At 43.4% G+C, this 19,445-nt stretch overlaps 1 long non-coding RNA gene across 3 annotated transcripts in view; it reads right to left on the bottom strand.

Moving 5' to 3' along the window:
• Positions 1 to 1,424: 1,424 nt before the first annotated feature.
• LOC105379231 (uncharacterized) overlaps positions 1,425 to 19,445 on the bottom strand; it is a 62,356-nt gene continuing 44,335 nt past the window's right edge. For 2 of the 3 annotated variants that reach the window (XR_948940.3, XR_948941.3), the window contains one exon: positions 13,190 to 13,416. This is a non-coding gene — a long non-coding RNA (uncharacterized LOC105379231). Of the gene's footprint in view, positions 1,950 to 13,189; positions 13,417 to 19,445 lie in introns of those variants that run through there. The other variant, XR_002956685.1, reaches the window with a different exon arrangement.

Below are 19,445 nucleotides of genomic sequence, written 5' to 3'. Positions count from 1 at the left end.
AGTTCATGTCCTTTGTAGGGACATGGATGAAGCTGGAAGCCATCATTCTCAGCAAACTATTGCAAGGACAGAAAACCAAACACCACGTTTTCACTCATAGGTGGGAATTGAACAATGAGAACACATGAACACAGGAAGGGGAACATCACACATCGGGGAATGTTGTGGGGTGGGGGGAGGGGGGAGGGATAGCATTAGGAGATATACCTAATGTAAATGACGAGTTAATGGGTGCAGCACACCAACATGGGACATGTATACATATGTAACAAACCTGCACATTGTGCACATGTACCCTAGAACTTAAAGTACAATAATAAAGAAAAAAAAAGAAACAAGGCCTTTCAACAATTTTAGGTAATTCTTCTGATATTTGTCTCCGTATTTTCTACATAATATGCATGTTCTGCTATTTATGCATCAGTTTTAGATGGTGTTCACTGACTCTGTTAAGGGATGTAGGTTTTTAGCTCTTGTATCTCTACCTGTTTGCCTTTCCTTTGCTCCAATATGGCTATACCCCAATTTTTTTTTTTTTTTTTTTTTGAGATGGAGTCTCGCTCTGTCACCCAGGCTGGAGTACAGTTGCGCTATCTCGGCTTCCTGGGCGATCTCGGCTTCCTGCAAGCTCTGCCTCCCGGGTTCATGCTATTCTCTTGTCTCAGCCTCCTGAGTAGCTGGAACTGCAGGTCCTCACCACCACGCCCAGCTAATTTTCTGTATTTTTAGTAGAGACAGGGTTTCACCGTGTTAGCCAGTGAGGTCTCGATCTCCTAACCTCATGATCTACCAACCTCATGATGTGGCCTCCCAAAGTGCTGGGATTACAGGCGTGAGCCACTGTGCCTGGCCATCCAACTTTTAAATATTAATTTATTTTAATTAATTTAAATTATTGATGTTTTTACATTATATAAAATTTATTGCTGATCCAAATATTGTGATTCATTTTTGTATTAGTTATTTATTGCTGCAAAACTAATTACATCAAAACTTAGCAACTTAAAACAATAATTAACCTTTATTATCTCACACAGTCTGTGGGTCTTGAATTTGAGAATAGCTTAGTTGTGTAGTTCTGGTTTGGGAGTCTCTCAGGAGATTTCAGTCAAGATGTCAATCCCACACCAAGAGGTGGAATCAACCTAAGTGTCTATCAGCAGATGAATGGCTAAAGAAGATGTGGCATATATACACAATGACATATTAGCCATAAAAAATAATCTGGTAATTTGCAACAACATAGATGGAATTGGAGGACATTATGTCAAGTGAAATGAGCCAGGCACAGAAAGACAAATATCATGTGTTCTCACTAATATGTGGAAGCTATAAAAAAAAAATTGAACTAATGGAAACAGAGAATAGAATGATGGTTACCAGAGGCTGGGAAGGGTTGGTTACCAGAGGCTGGGAAAGGTAGTGGAGAGGAGGGCTAAACAGGGGATGATTGATGGGTACAAAAAATACAATCAGACAGAAAGAATAAGATCTAGTTTTCAGTAGCACAATAGGGCAACTATAGTTAAGAAAGATTTATTTTGTATTTCAAATTAATTAAAAGAGTGAGATTGGGATGTTCCTAGCACAAAGAAATGATAAGTGCTTGAGGTGATGGATACCCTAATCACCCCAGTTTGATCATTACATGTCGTAGGCTTGTATCAATGTCACAAGTACCCTATAAATATGTATAACTTGTGCATCTACAGCAATTACAAATGAACTATTTTAAAAAGAAAAAATATCAATCCCAATAATTTATATCTCTCACACATGCAAAGTTCACTCACCTGCCTCCTAAGGTCCCCCAAAGTCTTACCCCATTACAGCATCAGCCAGAAGTCCAGTATGTCATTCTCTAAATTGGGTCCAGGGGAAAATAAAGCTTCTCAGGGGTGGTTCTTTAATAATAGCTCTTCAAACACAGTTCCTCTTAATTGGAAGACCTGTGAATTAAAGAGAGAATTTGTCTGCAGCCACACACCCAACACACATTGGTGAAACAGGAATATGAAAACTGCTAGAACCCTCCCAGTAAAAAGGAAGAAATGAGAAAACATACAGGAGACAGTGGGCCATAGCAATTCTTAAATCAAGCACGATGCAGTTGACAGTTTCTTAGTTAAGACTCAAGACCTGGGCAGGACTTTTAATGGCTCTTGGCTATGCCCACTGAACATTTGTTTCCACTTTCAGAATCATTCTTTCATTTCCATCAAAGGTAGCCCATGTATACAGCTGAGATGTTTTCTCAGCCTGCTTTCTGCCTGTAGAAGTTTGGGGACCCTAAGTCCTCTTTATAATTTGTTCTCTTTCTATTCCTTTTAGTTCAAGCTGGAGGTATTTTAGCCAACACAATTCTTATAAAATCGTTATATATCTCCCATGAATCTTATTGGGGTTTATGCCATTAGACAAAAGCCATATCCAGGAATTTCTTTGATATAAACCTTCTCTACTTTGGGCTTTTGCTGAGATGAGGAAAGGACAATGCCCTTAGCCTTCTTAGAAGCCTTGTCTGACTAACAGTGGCTTGAGGGCTGGGCACGGTGGCTCACACCTGTAATCCCAGCACCTTGGGAGGCTGAGGCAGGCAGATTACCTGAGGTCAGGAGTTCGAGACCAGCCTGGCCAACATGGTGAAACCTCGTCTCTACTAAAAATAAAAAATTAGCTGGGTGTGGTGGCACACGCCTGTAATCTCAGTTACTTGGGAGGCTGAGGCAGGAGAATTGCTTGAGCCCAGGAGACAGAGGTTGCAGTGAGCCGAGATCGTGCCACTACACTCCAGCCTAGGCGACAGAGTGAGACTGTGTCTCAAAAAACAACAACAATAAAAATAAAAACAGTGGCCTGAGACATTGCTTTAGATATATTTGAAGTTCTAACAGTTGTTTTTGTTACAACCAGACCCTCAGCTTCATCTTTATATCATGTTTTCCTGACACTTCAGTGGATTTTATCTTTGTATAGATGCCATTTCTTAATTTTAGGATCATTTGCCACCTAGAGATGCTGGGAATTTTCAAACTATCAAGTTCCATCTTTGTTTTGCTTAAGAGTCTTTCTGTGGCCTCTCTATGCTCACATTTTATTTTTATCAGAAAAAGGAAACCATGTGGTACCATCCACATTCTGCCAGGAAACCTCCTCAGCTAGATTACCTACCTCATTAGGTAGTTTTTAATTTTTCCATGTTAGGACAGGCAAAAGTATTGCTAAACTTTCTGCTGTTTTATAACAAGGATTCTCGTTTCTCCATTTTAAAATAACATTTCCCCTACTTTTTTTTTTTGTTCTCAAAGGCCATCAGGCTTCTACTAACAATATCTGTAATATTCTTTAGGCTTTCATTAACACTACCCTCAAAGTCCTTCCAGCTCTTAACCAATACTCAGTCTAGATTTACACCCACATTTTTAGTTTTTTGTCATGACTTGCTCAACTTCCAGGTACCGAAGCCTTCATACTCAAAATGAACTCCAAAACTTAGCACCTTAAAACAATATTACACATTGTACATAGTTTCTGTGTGTCAGGAATTCAGGAGTGATGTAAGCTGGTGGTTCTGGTTTGGGGGTCTCTCATGAACTTACTGTCAAGGTGTTGACTGGGGACTGAAGTCACTTGAAGGCTTGACTGTGTAGAGTATCTTCCAAGGTGGCTCAGTCCAATGGTTGGCAAGGTATGCTGGTGTTGGCTGGGTCCTGGCCCTAAGGATGCTTGAGTGTTATTGTTAATTGTATCATGAGAGCTGGCTTCTTCCAGGGCAATTGATTTAAGAGAGCAAGCTGAAAGCCCCAATTTCTCTTTATAACCTAGCTTTAAAACTCACATGCCACCATTTCTGCAAAATCCTAGTTGTTACATGGTCAGCCCTACTGAATATGGGAGGAGATTATACAAGGATATGAAAACCAGGATGCAGGATCATCAGGGACTATCTCAGAAGCTGGCTGTTAGTATCTTTTCTCATTATTTTTTCCTATAATTAATAATTACCTGATTTGTTTATCTGATTAGCTTTACATGTCTTAATCTTTATTTTTTCTCTAAGGCTTCATCATCTTTCAAATACCTGGGAATTATTTTTGCACAGCTTGAAATGTATTAGATTATTTCTGCTTCCATTGTTTTCTTATGAACATTATCCTTCATGTCCTCCATCTTTTTTTTTTTTTTTTTTTTTGGTGGACGGTGGGGGATGGAGTCTCACTCCGCTGCCCAGGCTGGAGTGCAGTGGTGCCATCCTGACCCACTGCAGCCTCCACCTCCTGGGTTCAAGTGATTCTCCCACTGCAGCCTCCTGAGTAGCTGGGACTACAGGCACCCGCCACCATGCCTTGGCTAACTTTTGTATTTTTAACAGAGATGGAGTTTCACCATGGTGGCCAGGCTGGTCTGGAACTCTTGACCTCAAGCGGTCCCCCGGCCTCGGCCTCCCAAAGTGCTGGGATTACAGGCATGAGCCACCATGCCCAGCCGTATTTCTCCATCTTTCTGCTCCGTCCAGGCTCATTCCTTCCTAAGCTTGATGCACAGTTGCGATCCCAGGACTTCCCTTCACTGCAATTCTGTATTACAACTCTTGTTTACTGGATCCCACATTTTCCTCTTTGTTGGTTTTCTTGTTTATTTTTGCCAAAGCACAGGCTACCCGGAGTTTGAAGAACAGTATGTGGGAGAAGAAGTTTGTGAGTTCTGTGTTTGAAATGTCTTATTCCACCCTCACTTGTTCCTTGGCTGTCTTCGCACTCGTACCGGGTGCAGTTTGTCAAACTGTAGTCTCCTCTGTAAGGTATCAAGGAGCATATGGGTTTTATTTTTGTTTTTCCATTGGTAAACTCTCAATTTTCATTGTGCAGAGATCATTCCTCTGGAGCCGATTAGTTTCTCCAAAGAAGAATCTTTCATTCTCTTCCCTGGGGTGGGAGGGATGTGCCCGTGACTGCTGCCTTCCAGGAGCAGGGCCGAGGTGGAGGGCTGGGGGCCTCACAGTTCAGCAGCAGGCAGGCCTTGTAACACCCTGAACTGCGGCATGAGGCCTCCTGTGTCTTCAGCTGCTCCCCTAATCTTCAGTTCAATTTCTCCAGAAAACAAAACAAATATTTCCCATTGCTTATGGGAGAGTGAGCTGAGGGGTGGTTACCTGACTCTTCAGAGTGGGCTGGATCCTGCTGGTTCAGCAGCTCAGCATGGAGCCTTCCAAAGGCCTCACCTGTTTATCATCACCCACCTCCATCTGAACTCCTTTACAATCTACCTTTCCAGTCAGAGCTAAATCAATCCCCCACCTGCTTTCTGTATCCTCATCCCACCCCTTTATATAAATATCTTAGCTTCTGTTTTTTTCACTTTTCCAGGGTCATTCTCTTTGACCGTGGGTAAATACCTTTCAAAAAATTGATTTACTGTTTATTTATTTTGAAATAGGATCTCCTTCTGTCACCCAGGCTGGAGTGCAATGGTATGATCACAACTCACTGCAGCCTTGACCTTTGGGGCTTAGGCGATCCTCCCACCTCAGCCTCCTGAGTAGCTGGGATTACAGGCGTGTGCAACTATGCCTAGCTGATGTTTTAAAAAAGAAATTTTGTCAAAACAGGGTCTTGCAGTACAGCCAAGGCTGGTCTCAAACCCCTGGGCTGAAGTGATCCTCCTGCCTCAGTTTCCCAAAGTGCTAGGATTACAGACATGAGCCACTGCGCCTGGCTGCTGTGTTTTAAATTGGCATTTTGGAACAAAAGAAAAGAAAAAAAACATGTGTGATCATTTCTTTATGCATCACTGTAAGTACAGGTAATGGTTTTCAATTTGTGAAACAACAACGTAACACAAAAACTCAAACCAAAGAAAGTCGACCTATAACCACTCCAGATAGGGAGCAAAAACCTACTAATGTTGCCCAAGTGAGGCTGGCTCTTACAGCCCCTGTATTCTGCAAGATGGATTTTTATACCTTCCCTGAACAGGAAAGTTCCATCCCTTTTCCAGCACCCAGCCTGCTCTCAAGCATCTGTAGCTAGCGCTGCCGATACAGACCTCCCAACCAAAGAAAGCAGATGGCTTGCAGGCACTGATTAATTACCATTCTTCCTCCGCTTAGGTTTCCAGCTGTGGTTTACTTTCTCCTTCCTGGCACGGAGGCATGTCTTCTGGTTTCTTTGCTTCCCAGCAAAATGTCAGGAGCAGTCCTGTCTTTTACTAAGTCTCTTCCAGTCACCAGCTCCACATTGCTGGTGATCAGCATTGCTTTTTGGCTTATCTCAAAGCTACTATGTGGCAATAACTTTCATCTGTGACGGAATAAAACAAATCCGCCCTCGTCTGTTTCCTTGACCTCCGATTGCATGATGGAGCAAACAGGAAGCAGAAAGTCAAATGAAAGGAAACCTCCATAGGTCAAATAAATCTTTCTGTCTGTCTTCTGGAGCTGGACCCATGACAGAAATCACCTCTGGGGTTTAGCTCCCTGTTCAGCCTGATTTTAAGTTACAGGGCACATCCCAAACCAAAATGGGGTTATGAATAATGAAGCATTGGAGTCTGGCATATGGCTGGCCACATTTGTTAGCATGGAAGTAATCCATCTTGCCACATGATTTTGGGGATTTAGCAGGCTCTCCTAATCACCTGTTTTCTCTAAGCAGGGGTTCTGAAACAGAAATGTGTTGTACATAAGGATCGCCCTGGAAACTTTGACATAAGACATATGTCCAGACTCTACCCCGGGAGGTTATTCAAGGCAAGGCATTTGTGTTTTGAAAACAGCTCTTGGCCAGGCACGGTGGTTCATGCCTATAATCCCAGCACTTTGGGAGGCCGAAGTGGGCGGATCATGAGGTCAGGAGATCGAGACCATCCTAGCTAACACGTTGAAACCCCGTCTCTACTAAAAATACAAAAAAAAAAAAATTAGCCGGGCGTGGTGGCGGGCGCCTGTAGTCCCAGCTACTTGGGAGGCTGAGGCAGGAGAATGGCATGAACCTTGCAGTGAGCCAAGATCGCACCACTGCACTCCAGCCTAGGCAACAGAATGAGACTCTGCCTCAAAAGAAAAGAAAAGAAAAGAAAAGAAAAGAAAAGAAAAGAAAAGAAAAGGAAAGAAAAGAAAAGAAAAATGAAAACAGCTCTCTTGGTGATTTTGGTTAAGAAGCACTGTTCTAAAGAAATACCTAATGTGAAAGAGGCAACACAGTATAATGATTATTAAAAAATAAAAACTCTGGATGATTAGGTGTAGGCCCGGGGCCTGGCTAAGTTGTTTTCTCTCATTAGTCAGGAGACCATATAATACATCATCCACATTAGGACATATTTGAAAGGAAAAGAGGGAGCTATTAATAATCGTGTCAGGACAAGATGCATACATTGAGGCCGTGTGGACACACCAGTCACCGTACTCATTAGTCAAATGCGAGATTGAAGTAGAGAACTCTGAGGTCCCTTTCAGACTGATGATTGTGTAATTTATGACAACTGGGACAAGTCCATGCAGGACAGAGTCTCATTCTAAGTGCAAGCAAGACAGAGCTGTTGAGGCGTCATCTACACTCAGGAGGGCTGAGATGGGCAGCATCCACACCTCAGAGGCTGAGACCCGATGGCACGTGAGGCTTAGGGGCCAGGCAGATCAAGCTAATAGGAGGAAGTGACCCTTCTAGGGCAGAGGCCCCAGAAAGCATGGGTCAGGAGGGGCAGATTCGCAATCAGTGTTGATCAGAGGCAGCTGCTATTGCCATCAGAACCCCCAAGGTGTTATTTGAGGTCTACTGACTTTTACACATGCTTCTGGGTCATATTCAGTGTGATACTCTTAGACATTTACACACATTTCTGTATTATCTCCCATACGTGACACAAACAATCTGTACAGCCATCTCCTTGGTGCCTCTGCCATGTGGCACAATTAGGGAAAAGGGTATTTAGGGTAATCTAATGTTCTAGTTAATTATAAATTAGTATATAAATTATACCATAAACGACTGGGTGCGGTGGCTCACACCTGTAATCCCAGCACTTTGGGAGGCCTAGGCGGGTGGATCACCTGAGGTCAGGAGTTGGAGACCAGCCTGACCAACATGGAGAAGCCCCATCTCTATTAAAAATACAAACAATTAGCTGGGCGTGGTGGCGCATGCCTGTAACCCCAGCTACTCCGGAGGCTAAGGCAGGAGAATTGCTTGAACTCAGGAATAGGAGGTTGCAGTGAGCCGAGATCGCACCATTGCACTCACAAATTGTACCATACACAAATGACCAATTTTCTAAAAATCAAAGAGTAACAAAATACCCCAACCCCCACCAAAACTCTGATGGTTTTATCTGCCATGTTTTAGAAAGCACTGCAGTGTCACAATAAAGATCACTGCAGCTGGGAAAGGTCAGCTTAATCTAATCTGTGGTATCGACAAGTTTCCATGAACACGGAAGAGTTAAGTTGGGTGTAGTTTGTTTTTTAGGATTTTTTTTCTACTGTATTTCTTATGTTGGGGCTTATCAAGTGTGAATTAGTGGAAATCTTTAGGGTGGGATATCGGGACAGACGGAGAGGGCATGAGCAGATGACTACTGTTTCAAAGCCAGTATTTTATCATTTCTGAGAGGTGGGCTGAGCTGGCTTGTTTGTGCAGCTTTAGGCATCAGGGGAATGAGCAGAGATTTGAGGAGAGAGGCAAACAGAGACAGAGCAAGAGAAGACAAAGAGAAGGAAGGAAGACCGAGAGACAGAGGGGGGAAAGGAGTGAGGAAAAGAAAGGGGGGAAACAGAGGAGGAGGAGGGAAAAGAGAGACAGAGACAGAGAAAGCATGATAACATAAACAGAGAAGCAAACAGAAAGATGTGGACAGACACCGAGAAGGAGAGACATACATGAATAGTTAGATGTACACACATGAGCGTGCACACACATGAGCATGTCTCTGGGAAAAAGAAAGGTAAGTCCAAGGTTAGAATTTATAGTCAAAACCTTGGAAAGGCTTGTATTGGAACATAGGAAATGGAACAGCTCACACAGTTGCTGAAGCTGTTTTGATGAACACAGTCCAGTTCGTTTCATGTAGATCTAAGCTCACGCTGTTTGGAAGGAAATTGCTCACTGCAGCTATGCTTTAGGGGTGTGATCGGAGGGGCTGGCACTGATGGAAAGCTTCTCCCCACCGCTCTGGGAGGAAGCCGGCAGATTGTGAACAGCTCTGTTCTCACAACTGTGGCAGTGTCGTCTGTTTGTCAGACTCGTGCCCTGAATGCGGCATTTGGGATGTGCAGATGCTTAGCCTGGGATTAGAATTCTCCTGGCTGCAAAATCGTTTTGCTTCTTACTGATTTCTTACCTTTGGCAGAGAATGGCAGCACAGCAAGGAGAAATTGCTATTGTCTGGCTAAGAGTTATTTTCAGAGAGTCTTGGAGAGGCTGTCTGTCCCTGAGGGAATGCAGAAGGTGAAGGAAGCCAAGAGGTAATCATTTGGCTTGACAGGTGACATGGGGTGATGTGGCTGAAGGGCCAGCAGGAGGCTGGGGTCTCCAGGAAGAGCTTTGTAAACAGAAACTTGCTTTCACTTGAAAAATGCTGTGCGTACTTCTCCCTGCACATCAAAAAGGACAAACTGAGCTGCAGAAGGCCTAGGGAAGGGCCAATGCAACAGTCAAGGGCGTGGAGATCGGGGAAGATGGGAAGCATTAGGATCTTCAGTCCAGAGTGGCAGAGGATGAGGATGGAGAGGACAGATCTCTGAAACAAAGGAAGGGAAAGGGTGGAGTGCATGGGCTTGGTCACGAGATTCCTGGATATCAAACCCTTGAAGGTTTAGAAAGGTCATTTTAGAAAAATAAATAAATAAAGCGTGGATTTTTATGGTGAACAGTAAACTTGGGAAAGTTTTAGACAAACTCAATCAACATGATTAGAAATGATAAATGTTGAAAATATTAATACAGGCAGGAAGGGTGTAGACAAATCTCTCTACAGTGCACAAGGCTGGTTTCATCTATTCACATCCCTTGCTAAGGGGATGGTCCTTTCTAGGCTTCTCCTGCCTAACTAGCTTGGCTTCAGTTTGCCCTTCCCGGGCCCCACGACCAACTGGACTAGGCGGGGGCACCTAACCCAAGGGCAGCCAACTCTATCCTATTGCTATTTCTTTTTTTTCCCCACGCAATCCTGCAAGGTGTTGACAGACCACTCTCCCTCAGATACCAGTTTTATCAAACCTTTTCCTGAAACAGCTATACCTCAGACAATCCCAAGACATAAACAAGAGCATCCTCAGTACCTGGGACAGGGCAAGGCTTAACCCTCCTAAGAGTTAACTCTTCATGACACCTACTGTAGGCTGGGAACTCTGCTAAGTGCTTACCTTACATCACATAGCACATTTAATTCTCATAGCTCAATAAGGCAGCAACTATTTTTAATTCCATCTCACAGAGGAGAAAGTCAAATTGAGAAAGATTAATGAACAGCTAGGATTGGAGCTCCAGTCAGTCCAACTCCTGAGCCCAAGCTTTAACTCTATACTTTAGCTCTATGCTGACTCCCAGCAACTCTGACCTCTCTCCTCCACTTGTTTTCCTTTTCTATTCATTCCCATTCTCTCCAATCATCCCTACCCTTTTCTATGTCATCAAGCTTCTGTGACTGGTTGTGAAGCTCCTAAGTGTCATTTAGGGTGCTTTCAGTAAAGTCCATAGAAAACAAACTAAAATAATTTAAATAAAGATGATGAGATTTTTTTCCTTCACATAACAAGAAGCTTAGAGGTAAAGAAAATCCAATGTTTTTCTAGCTAATGACTCAGCATCAATGACAAGGCTCTTTCTATCTTTCTCTTCTACCATCCTTTGCTTGTTGGCTAGCTCCCCTCAGGCTCACAAGATGGCTGCAGCAGCTCTGGACATCACATCCTTAAATCCTAGTTTCAGAGAAAACAAACATGGCTCCTTTCTTGTGCGTTTCCCTTAAATAATGAAGAAATATTTCTCAAAGACCCTAGCAGATTTTTCCTCACATCTCATTGGTCAGGATTCGGTCACATGGCCATGCTAAACCAATCACTGGTAAGAAAGGTGGGATAACTGTTATTTTTAGACCAACTGAAATATATATGACTCGACAAGGGGACCAGTGAACAGAAGAACAGAAATCAGAATTCTGACAACATAACAGAAGGCAGAAGTCCTTGTGAGGTAGGTGACAATAGTTATTTTCTTTTGTTCCCAGCAAACATCTTCTGCTTCAGTCAGCGTCCTTGCACGTGACTCATTCATTCTTGCCTCATTAATTTCTCATACTGTCCTTTCCTTCCTAGACACTTTCTACCCCGTCAATCCCCAAGATGCAGCCCGGGTCTCTTCATAACTGTTTCTCTGACGTTTAATCCTTACTAACTTCCTCTCTGAACTTTCTTATATTTACTGTGAGTGACTTTCTTTCTTTCTTTCTTTCTTTTTTTGAGACGGAGTCTAGCTTTGTTGCCCAGGCTGGAGTGCAGTGGCGCGATCTTGGCTCACTGCAAGCTCCGCCTCCCGGGTTCGCACCATTCTCCTGCCTCAGCCTCCTGAGTAGCTGGGACTACAGGCGCCTGACACCACGCCTGGCTAATTTTTTGTATTTTTAGTAGAGATGGTGCTTCACCGTGTTAGCCAGGATGGTCTCGGTCTCCTGACCTCGTGATCCGCCCGCCTCGGCCCGCCACAGTGCTGGGATTACAGGCGTGAGCCACTGCGCCCGGCCTACTGTGAGTGACTTATAATGTAGCTATTAGCTGTTATGAAATTGTTATCAGGATTTACTGCTGTTTCTCAAAAAATAACACATTTGAGAAACTTGATTGGGATAGAAATTAGGATAGATGACCTTTAAAGAGACTTTCAACTCTCATATCTTATGACTGCACAAGTCTACAATGACTAGTCTCTCTCCTTTCAGACTGTTCACTCATTGAGGACAGGGTCCAAGCCTTTGGGTCTTTATGTGTTCAACAGCATACAACATGGTGACTGATGCATTTTGGGAATTCCGTAAATAATCATTGATTGACTGACTGGTCAATGGATGCTCTAAACACCACTAATTCACTACTCAAGAGATTCTCACTGGCTTTGGGCATGAACTCTCCTAACTAGATTCAAGCAGGTAGTTGATAATTTGTTTTTCTGTCATGGGTGGATCTTAATGTTGGTATGTGCCCTAGAATATAGGTGATTTGCCCAACGACATTTGGACACCTGGTGAAAGGTGGAACACAGACAAGTGAGCAGGTGTACAGAGCGAGAAAAAGAAGGTGTTCTGGAAGTGAGCTCAATAAACACCCACACAGAAACAGCGAGCACAGACCATGACAGAGAGTCATGGGTGACAGCACAGGGAAAGAGCCTTAGGTGATCTAGAATTCACCAGAGAGGGTGGAGCAGATCCCGCTTGAGTGTGACTCCAGGCCAGGAGGGTTAGGCATATTTAATATACTCATGTAGGTAATGTTCCTAAAAACAGAAGATCAAAGGTGTTCAATCCACTTGATTGGTAAAGACATTCAGGAAATAAAGAAAGCATTCCAGTGAGCATGAGATTAAAATATGGGGAAACACCAGTCTGGCATAGATGTCCCCTGCCTGTCTCCTGTAATTCCCAGCATGACCTATCCCAACACCTGGCATGCTTCATAGCAATGGTCTGTTTATGTGTCTGACTTTGCCCATATTGTGAGATCTATGATGGCAGAAGCCTGCGTCGTTCATCAACATATCCCCTGTGTCTCTTGGATGAAGAGACCAAGTATCCACTTGGCTCTAGACAGGATATGTGGTTGTCACTGTGACCTCCGTAGGCTTCATCTGCCCTTCCGGGGCACTTAGCACCCTCCCTGGGACTCCTGTTCTCCTCTGTCCTCAGATACAGAAGCCACCCCATAGGGGATTCGATGTCCTTAGAGAATATGGAAGCCCCATTGCCCAGATGAGGAAACCAAGGCTCAGATCAGGAAAATCAAGGGAAGCAGTGAATCCACAGCACATCTCGAATCTCAGCTGAGACCACCTCTACATCCTCACTCTCGTTGCTAGGCAGCACTGCCTCAGATTTTCAAAGTTTGCTGAAATTCTAAAATAGATCACTTAAATTGGTTTGCTGACTTTTAGCTTTATGGAGGGTGGAACTTAAAGGGGGTGAGTTAATACTTCATCAGTACTCTTACAGATAAGCTTTTATTTCCACAATGACATTGGTGAAGAGACGTAGATAGTAACATGAGTAGTACAGAGGTGAGGGGTAGGGGGAGGCTGACAGAAAAGAGGAGCCCAGTGGACCTGCTGAAGCCATTGTTCCCCTTCACTGCTCATTCAGTTCCGCTCCTTAGTTTGGCGTTTAATGTCCTTCCTGATCTTTGCCTCACCTGCTTTGCTGGCCATGTTTTTCCTAAATAATAATAATAACACAATTAGAATTTTCACATAACTTTCGCATTCACTCTTAATTTGATCCTGCTGATGACTGTATGTATCAAGGAGTAGGAGTTGTCCAGCAGGAAAAATCCGGGGCATGGCAGCCTGTTGACCTTGTTGAGGTCAGTATGAAGCCCTGCCAGAGGCCACCTCTTCTAGGTCTTGTCTGGGGCTCTCCCCCAAAGCGCTGGTCTCCGTACACACCTCATTCACTCATTCTGCATCATTGTCACCACTCAGAATGCACAGCTGGGTGAATCCTTCCTTAACTCCTTGATTTTTAGTTAGAGACAGGGCCCTACTCTGTCACCTAGGCTGGAGTGCAATGGCATGATCACGGCACACTGCAGCCTCAAACTCCTGGGCTCAAGTGAGCCTCCCTTCTCAGTCTCCTAAGTAGCTGGGACTACAGGCACATGTCACCACACTCAGCTAATTTTTATTTTTTTATTTTTTGTGGAGATGGGATCTTGCTCTGTTGCCCAGGCTGGTCTCAAACTCCTGGCCTGAAGTGATCCTGATCCTCCTGCCTCGGTCTCCCAAAGCGCTGGGATTACAGGTGTGAGCCAGTGCACCTGACCCTCTCTCCTCAACTCCAAATTCAAGTCCCACTTACTCCATAAAACCTTCCCTGAACACTCTGGCCCTCTCTAAGTCCCCGCAACTTGAACCTGTCCCAGTGGCCCCACCTTATGATGGGCTGCCTTGGACTACTTGGTGACTATGATGTGTTCATATCTGTCTCTCCTGAGCATGTCGGATACAACATGCCTTGATTTTTTTTTACCCACAGAGCCATTGTCAGTATCAGTTGGTGACTGACAGCTCCCCTAGGGTTGTGACAAGGAACGTGAGTCAGACTGGCATGCACCAAACATGAAGACTCAGTCTGCTTGGTGGAACCCAACTAGCCCCAAAGACCCCCTGCTTGCCTAACGTCTGGCAAAATTACAGCTGAGACTGGGAACTCGAATTTCATTAATGTTTTCTATTAAAAGCACCATTTCCCATTAGTATTTGGAGGGTAATTGATCTCTAGAAGTGCAGCTCAGGGCAGGGCTGAAGGTGTTACCACAAAGGGGGAATGACTTCATAAGTCTCCCACTGAGCTGCCACAAAGCCAAATGAAAATATCTCCAGTTCCCTGGGGACCAGTAAGGCTATTAGATTAGAGCTCAGGTGAAGACTATTTGATGAGTCAGTCTTCAGAGGAAAAGCCACGGTTGTAATAGCATTGGCTTGCCAAAGATAAAACAGCATTTAAAAACCAGGTAATTTTAAAAGCCCCAAATCAAAGGTTGAGATACTTTATAAACTTTGAACAGTGCCAAAAGAAATGCCTGATCGTTTATTACATCTGGAAAAGAGTGTGTTTACAATGAGTAAAGAGGAATTCATGTAATTTTCATATTTTATGACTATCAATTCACTGAAGTAATTATACCCTCATTTACTTATTCTCTCAAAAACGGTATTTTTTAGGATTTTCTCTGTGCCAGGCACTACTCAAAGGTTTGTGATAAACTCTTATGGGACACTATGCTTACATACAAGTAACTCCTGTTCCAGTAGATTGTTCTTATGTAATAAGCAAAAGATATTTCCATTTAACAAAAGAAGAAACAAAATTTCAGACGAACTTGGTGAATTTCCTATGTCACGTCTCAAATAATTAAGAAAGCCTTTGGCTGGGCGCGGTGGCTCACACCTGTAATCCCAGCACTTTGGGAGACTGAGGCGAGTGGATCATGAGGTCAGGAGTTCGAGACCAGCCTGGCCAAGATGGTGAAACCCCGTCTCTACTAAAAAGAAAAAAAAATTAGGCATGGTGGTGGGCGCCTGTAATCCCAGCTACTTGGGAGGCTGAGGCAGGAGAATCACTTGAACCTGGGAGGTGGAGGTTGCAGTAAGCCAAGATCGTGCCACTGCACTCTAGCCTGGGTGAAAGAGTGAGTGAGACTCCGTCTCAAAAAAAAAAAAAAAAAAAAAAGCCTTTAAATAACTGTTGTGAGAATCTTCCCTCAAACCTTAACAACAGTCCCCAAAGATCTATATTTTATCACATAAGTCAGTAATTATCAACTTGATACTTCTATTCTCTCTCCCTGAATCACAGTAAATCTTGAAGTCCACAAAAAATGGAAGTCTTGAATTGAGGTCTGCATGTCTTCAGAATTCAGGATTATATGGCCAAACTCTGTTGCCTCCTCCTGTGCCGTGGGGTACAAGATGGTTAGCCTGAGAACCCGTGCATCCCAGATTTATGTGCACAAGTCATTTTTTATACAGACAAGAAACTCTTTCCTTGCACCAACAGAGCTAATCTTAGGGTCAGGAATATTCCTGAAGAATCTGGCAAAGACTCAAAGCTGGGGCGCTGGGTAGCTCATTTGAAGGTTGCATGAGACTAAATTTATTCCTCCCTCATGCTTAATTGGAGCATTCATTTCCCCGTTCTGGCTCCCTGATCTGAAAGAAACATCTATTACTGACATAGAGGAACAAAAGGACGTCTCCTCCAATTTGTTAATTATGTTCTGTTCTGTGAACAACAACAGGAGAATCAACCATTGAAAAGAGGAAAAAAAAAACCAACTCCTGGTCCTTCTGTGAGGGGTGTGTCATCTGTATACAGGAAGAGATGGAGCTATCTCTTTAAACAACGAATATGTTGAGTTTTGGTGGGCTTTGTCAGTTTCATTTCCGCACATTGGCTCTAAGGGGCACACACGTAGCAGCTTGATTTGGCTGGGTCCCAGCGGCATTTTCATACTTGTAGGTGGAAGATGAGGAAGCCAAGCGGAGAGGAAGTGAGGGGCTCTGTATTCACAGATGATGACTTACTCCCGAAATGAATAATGTGATGGTTTCCAATGCTGTGTACCTGATTGATCTGTCCTTTTCTTGTCTTCAAGAATTCATGTATAAATGTTTTAGAAGATTGCTAATGTCATGCCAATGAATCTCTTCAAGTGCTCTTTTTTGGGGAATAAATAGCTATAGTCTCTTCTGCTTCGATGTTGCTCATCTTTTCTGATGGCATTGTGTGGAATCAACGGGCAACATTTCAACTTCCCGCATGCAGACACGAACCACACACACGCATACACACACACACACATACACACAGACACACACTCTCACTCTCTCTCTGTTTAGAATTTTTTGCCCTCTAGCCTACTTTTTAAGGAGGCTCTTACCTAAGGATGGGCTTAAATTTTTTTTTTTTTTCAGACAGGGTCTCACTCTGTTGCCCAGGCTGGAGTACAGTGACAGGATCACTGAAGTCTCTACCTCCTCAGGCTTAAGCAGATCCTTCTACCTCAGCCTCCTGGGTAGGTGGGGCTACAGGTGCACACCACCATGTCCGGCTACTTTTTAAAAATTTTTTAGAGACTGGGTTTCGCTATGTTGCCCGGGCTGTTCTCAAACTGCTGGGCTCAAGTGATCCTTCTGCCTCAGGCTACCAAAGTACTGAGATTAAAGGCATGAGCCACCACACTGGGCCAGGCTTTTATTTTATTTATTTATTTGCTTATTTATTTATTTTTTTTTTTGAGACCGAGTCTCTCTCTGTCACCAGGCTGGAGTGCAGTGGCCCGATCTCGGCTCACTGCAACCTCTTCCTCCCAGGTTCAAGTGATTCTCCTGCCTCAACCTCCCGAGTAGCTGGGATTACAGGCACAGGTCATCACGCCCAGCTAATTTCTGTGTTTTTAGTAGAGATGGGGTTTCACCATGTTGGCCAGGATGGTCTTGATCTCGTGATCCGTCTGCCTTGGCCTCCCAAAATGCTGGGATTACAGGCGTGAGCCACCGTGCCCGGCCGGCTTTCACTTTTTTAAAGCCTTACCTGTCTATTAACTTTCCTCAAGTGCATTCTTTTTAGACAACGGCAAGGCTGGAAATACAAAGGCTTTTTTTGTTTCAGCTCAATGCTGGGCATAAAACAGGCACTCATACTGTTAGTGAATGGAGGCCCCTGCCTGGGGAAACTCTTCCTTTCCTAAGCCGTGAGCAATAGGAAGCCTTACTCTTAAAAGAGAGGCACTACTATAGTGATTTGGGAAAGACTGTTGAGGATTACAGCTCAATCAACAGACAGAAGAACTCCATCTTAAGCAGAAGGCAATGCTAGTTTTATCTCTGAGGACCAACACTGTAACCTTGAACGAGGTTAAATTAACCTTGCTTAAATTTTCTGAGCCTCCATGTCCTCATCTGTAAAATAGGAACAATATTATTGCTTAGCTTGGAGAGCTGTTGTGAGAATTGGATGATACAAGCATGTATAGCGTGTATAGCACAGAGCCAGGCATATGAAAAACACTCTATAATTGAGCTCTTATAATTATTATAATACTCTGATAATTATTACAGTAACCCAGAGGCCTTCTGGTGGGGTAGAAAGATCACTGGCTTAGGAGCCAGAAACTGGGGAACCCGCATTTAAAGTATCATTCAAAAGGTAGCTGTGCCTATTACTGATTTCACGTATGATGTCCCATTCCCCAATGCAATTTAAATGGCAGTGGTGTTACACACATTCTCTCTCCCCACTAAGACGTGAGAAATAACGGGGAAAAGTCAAAGTTTGACAAAGAGTGTTTCCATTTAATTTATGGAGTAGGCTACCTTTATGACCTTTTTTTTTTCTTAAAATGCTTGGGGCTGAGTTGGAGAAAAGCTAATAGGAACATTTTCTGAGGAAAAGTGTTCTACAAGCTTCACTGGAAGAAGATGGACCATCTTTCTCTTTTAAAAGGCTTTTTGTGAGCAGCTCCAGATGAGCCACAAAACAGCAAGATCCATCATTTGGGCAGGATGGTTTTGCAAGGACCCTCCAGCCCTAACCGTAGCCCTAAATGGCAATCTCTACTTATGTGGGACAATTTCATAGAAAAAGAGGAGAAGCAAAACCACTTTTCACAGAGTCTCAGTTTCTTACTAGATCTATAGAGAGCTCCCAAACTTTAGAAAAAAAGATAATAGAACGTTTCAATGGTTTTTATGATGACTTCCTTCCATTGCTTATTCCTTATTTTTACTCAGCATGTCTACACAGCATACGGCTATTTCCAACCTCATTCTTCTACCTAATATTATGGTGTATATATGTTTTCACAAATTGGCAGAGCTTACGCATTCATCATTTGTAATATTCCTCAGCTGTGAGATTTCCTACATGTCATAAAACTAGAATTATTGAATGATAAAGCTAGATAGATAGCTATATTATATCTCATAAAAGCCAACTTTTATGAAACCCTTACTATGTGTCAGGCACTGTGTTAAATGCTTTCCATACTCATTTCAAGTAACCATCCTAATAGTCCTATGAGGTAGGTCCTACCAAACTTTCCATTTCATAGATGAGGAAACCAAGGCTAAGATGGCTAAATGGCTTGTTCAGAGTCATATAGCTACCAGGGCTGAAATGCAAACCTACACTAAGCCACTAGGCTATGAGCTAGGTACCATATGGTTTTTATGTTTCAGAAGAGGATCCTTAGAGTCCCAAAGAGGTGTGTGAGTTTGCTCAGAGCCACCCAATTAGTTAGTGGCCATCAGGGCTGGAACCCAGTTTTCTGGACTCTAAGGTCCCTGATCTTTCCATTGTATACCTCATTCTGCCTCTCAGCATGAGAGGTGGGGCTCCTGTATCTTTGTGAAGCTCTCCTTTTCCTTCTCATGTTTGCAAAATTCACAGTGAATACTCTCATGTAATTGAAAATTAAATTTTTATGTAAATTACTTTTGACAATGGCACAGCTCCTGTTTTTTTCATTCCTGCTCCTTAAGTCATATTCTCTTGGGGAAGTCTACATTTCCCAAATTTTTAGGTTCAGAAAGTTCACTTGAAATCCACAAGAACTCTCCTGGAATCCTCAAATGACAGCTCTCAGGCACCAGATTCCCCTGGGACAAGAGAACTGTCCACTCCAGTTGATCAGTTGCTAGGGCTTTGTCTCTTTAGGAAGCAGAAGAAAACCCACATGTCCT

Source organism: Homo sapiens, chromosome 8 (assembly GCF_000001405.40).
Source record: "Homo sapiens chromosome 8, GRCh38.p14 Primary Assembly".
Lineage (NCBI taxonomy): Eukaryota > Metazoa > Chordata > Mammalia > Primates > Hominidae > Homo > Homo sapiens.
Note: the sequence above shows the minus strand (reverse complement) of the source record. Positions and strands in the feature narration are given on the sequence as shown.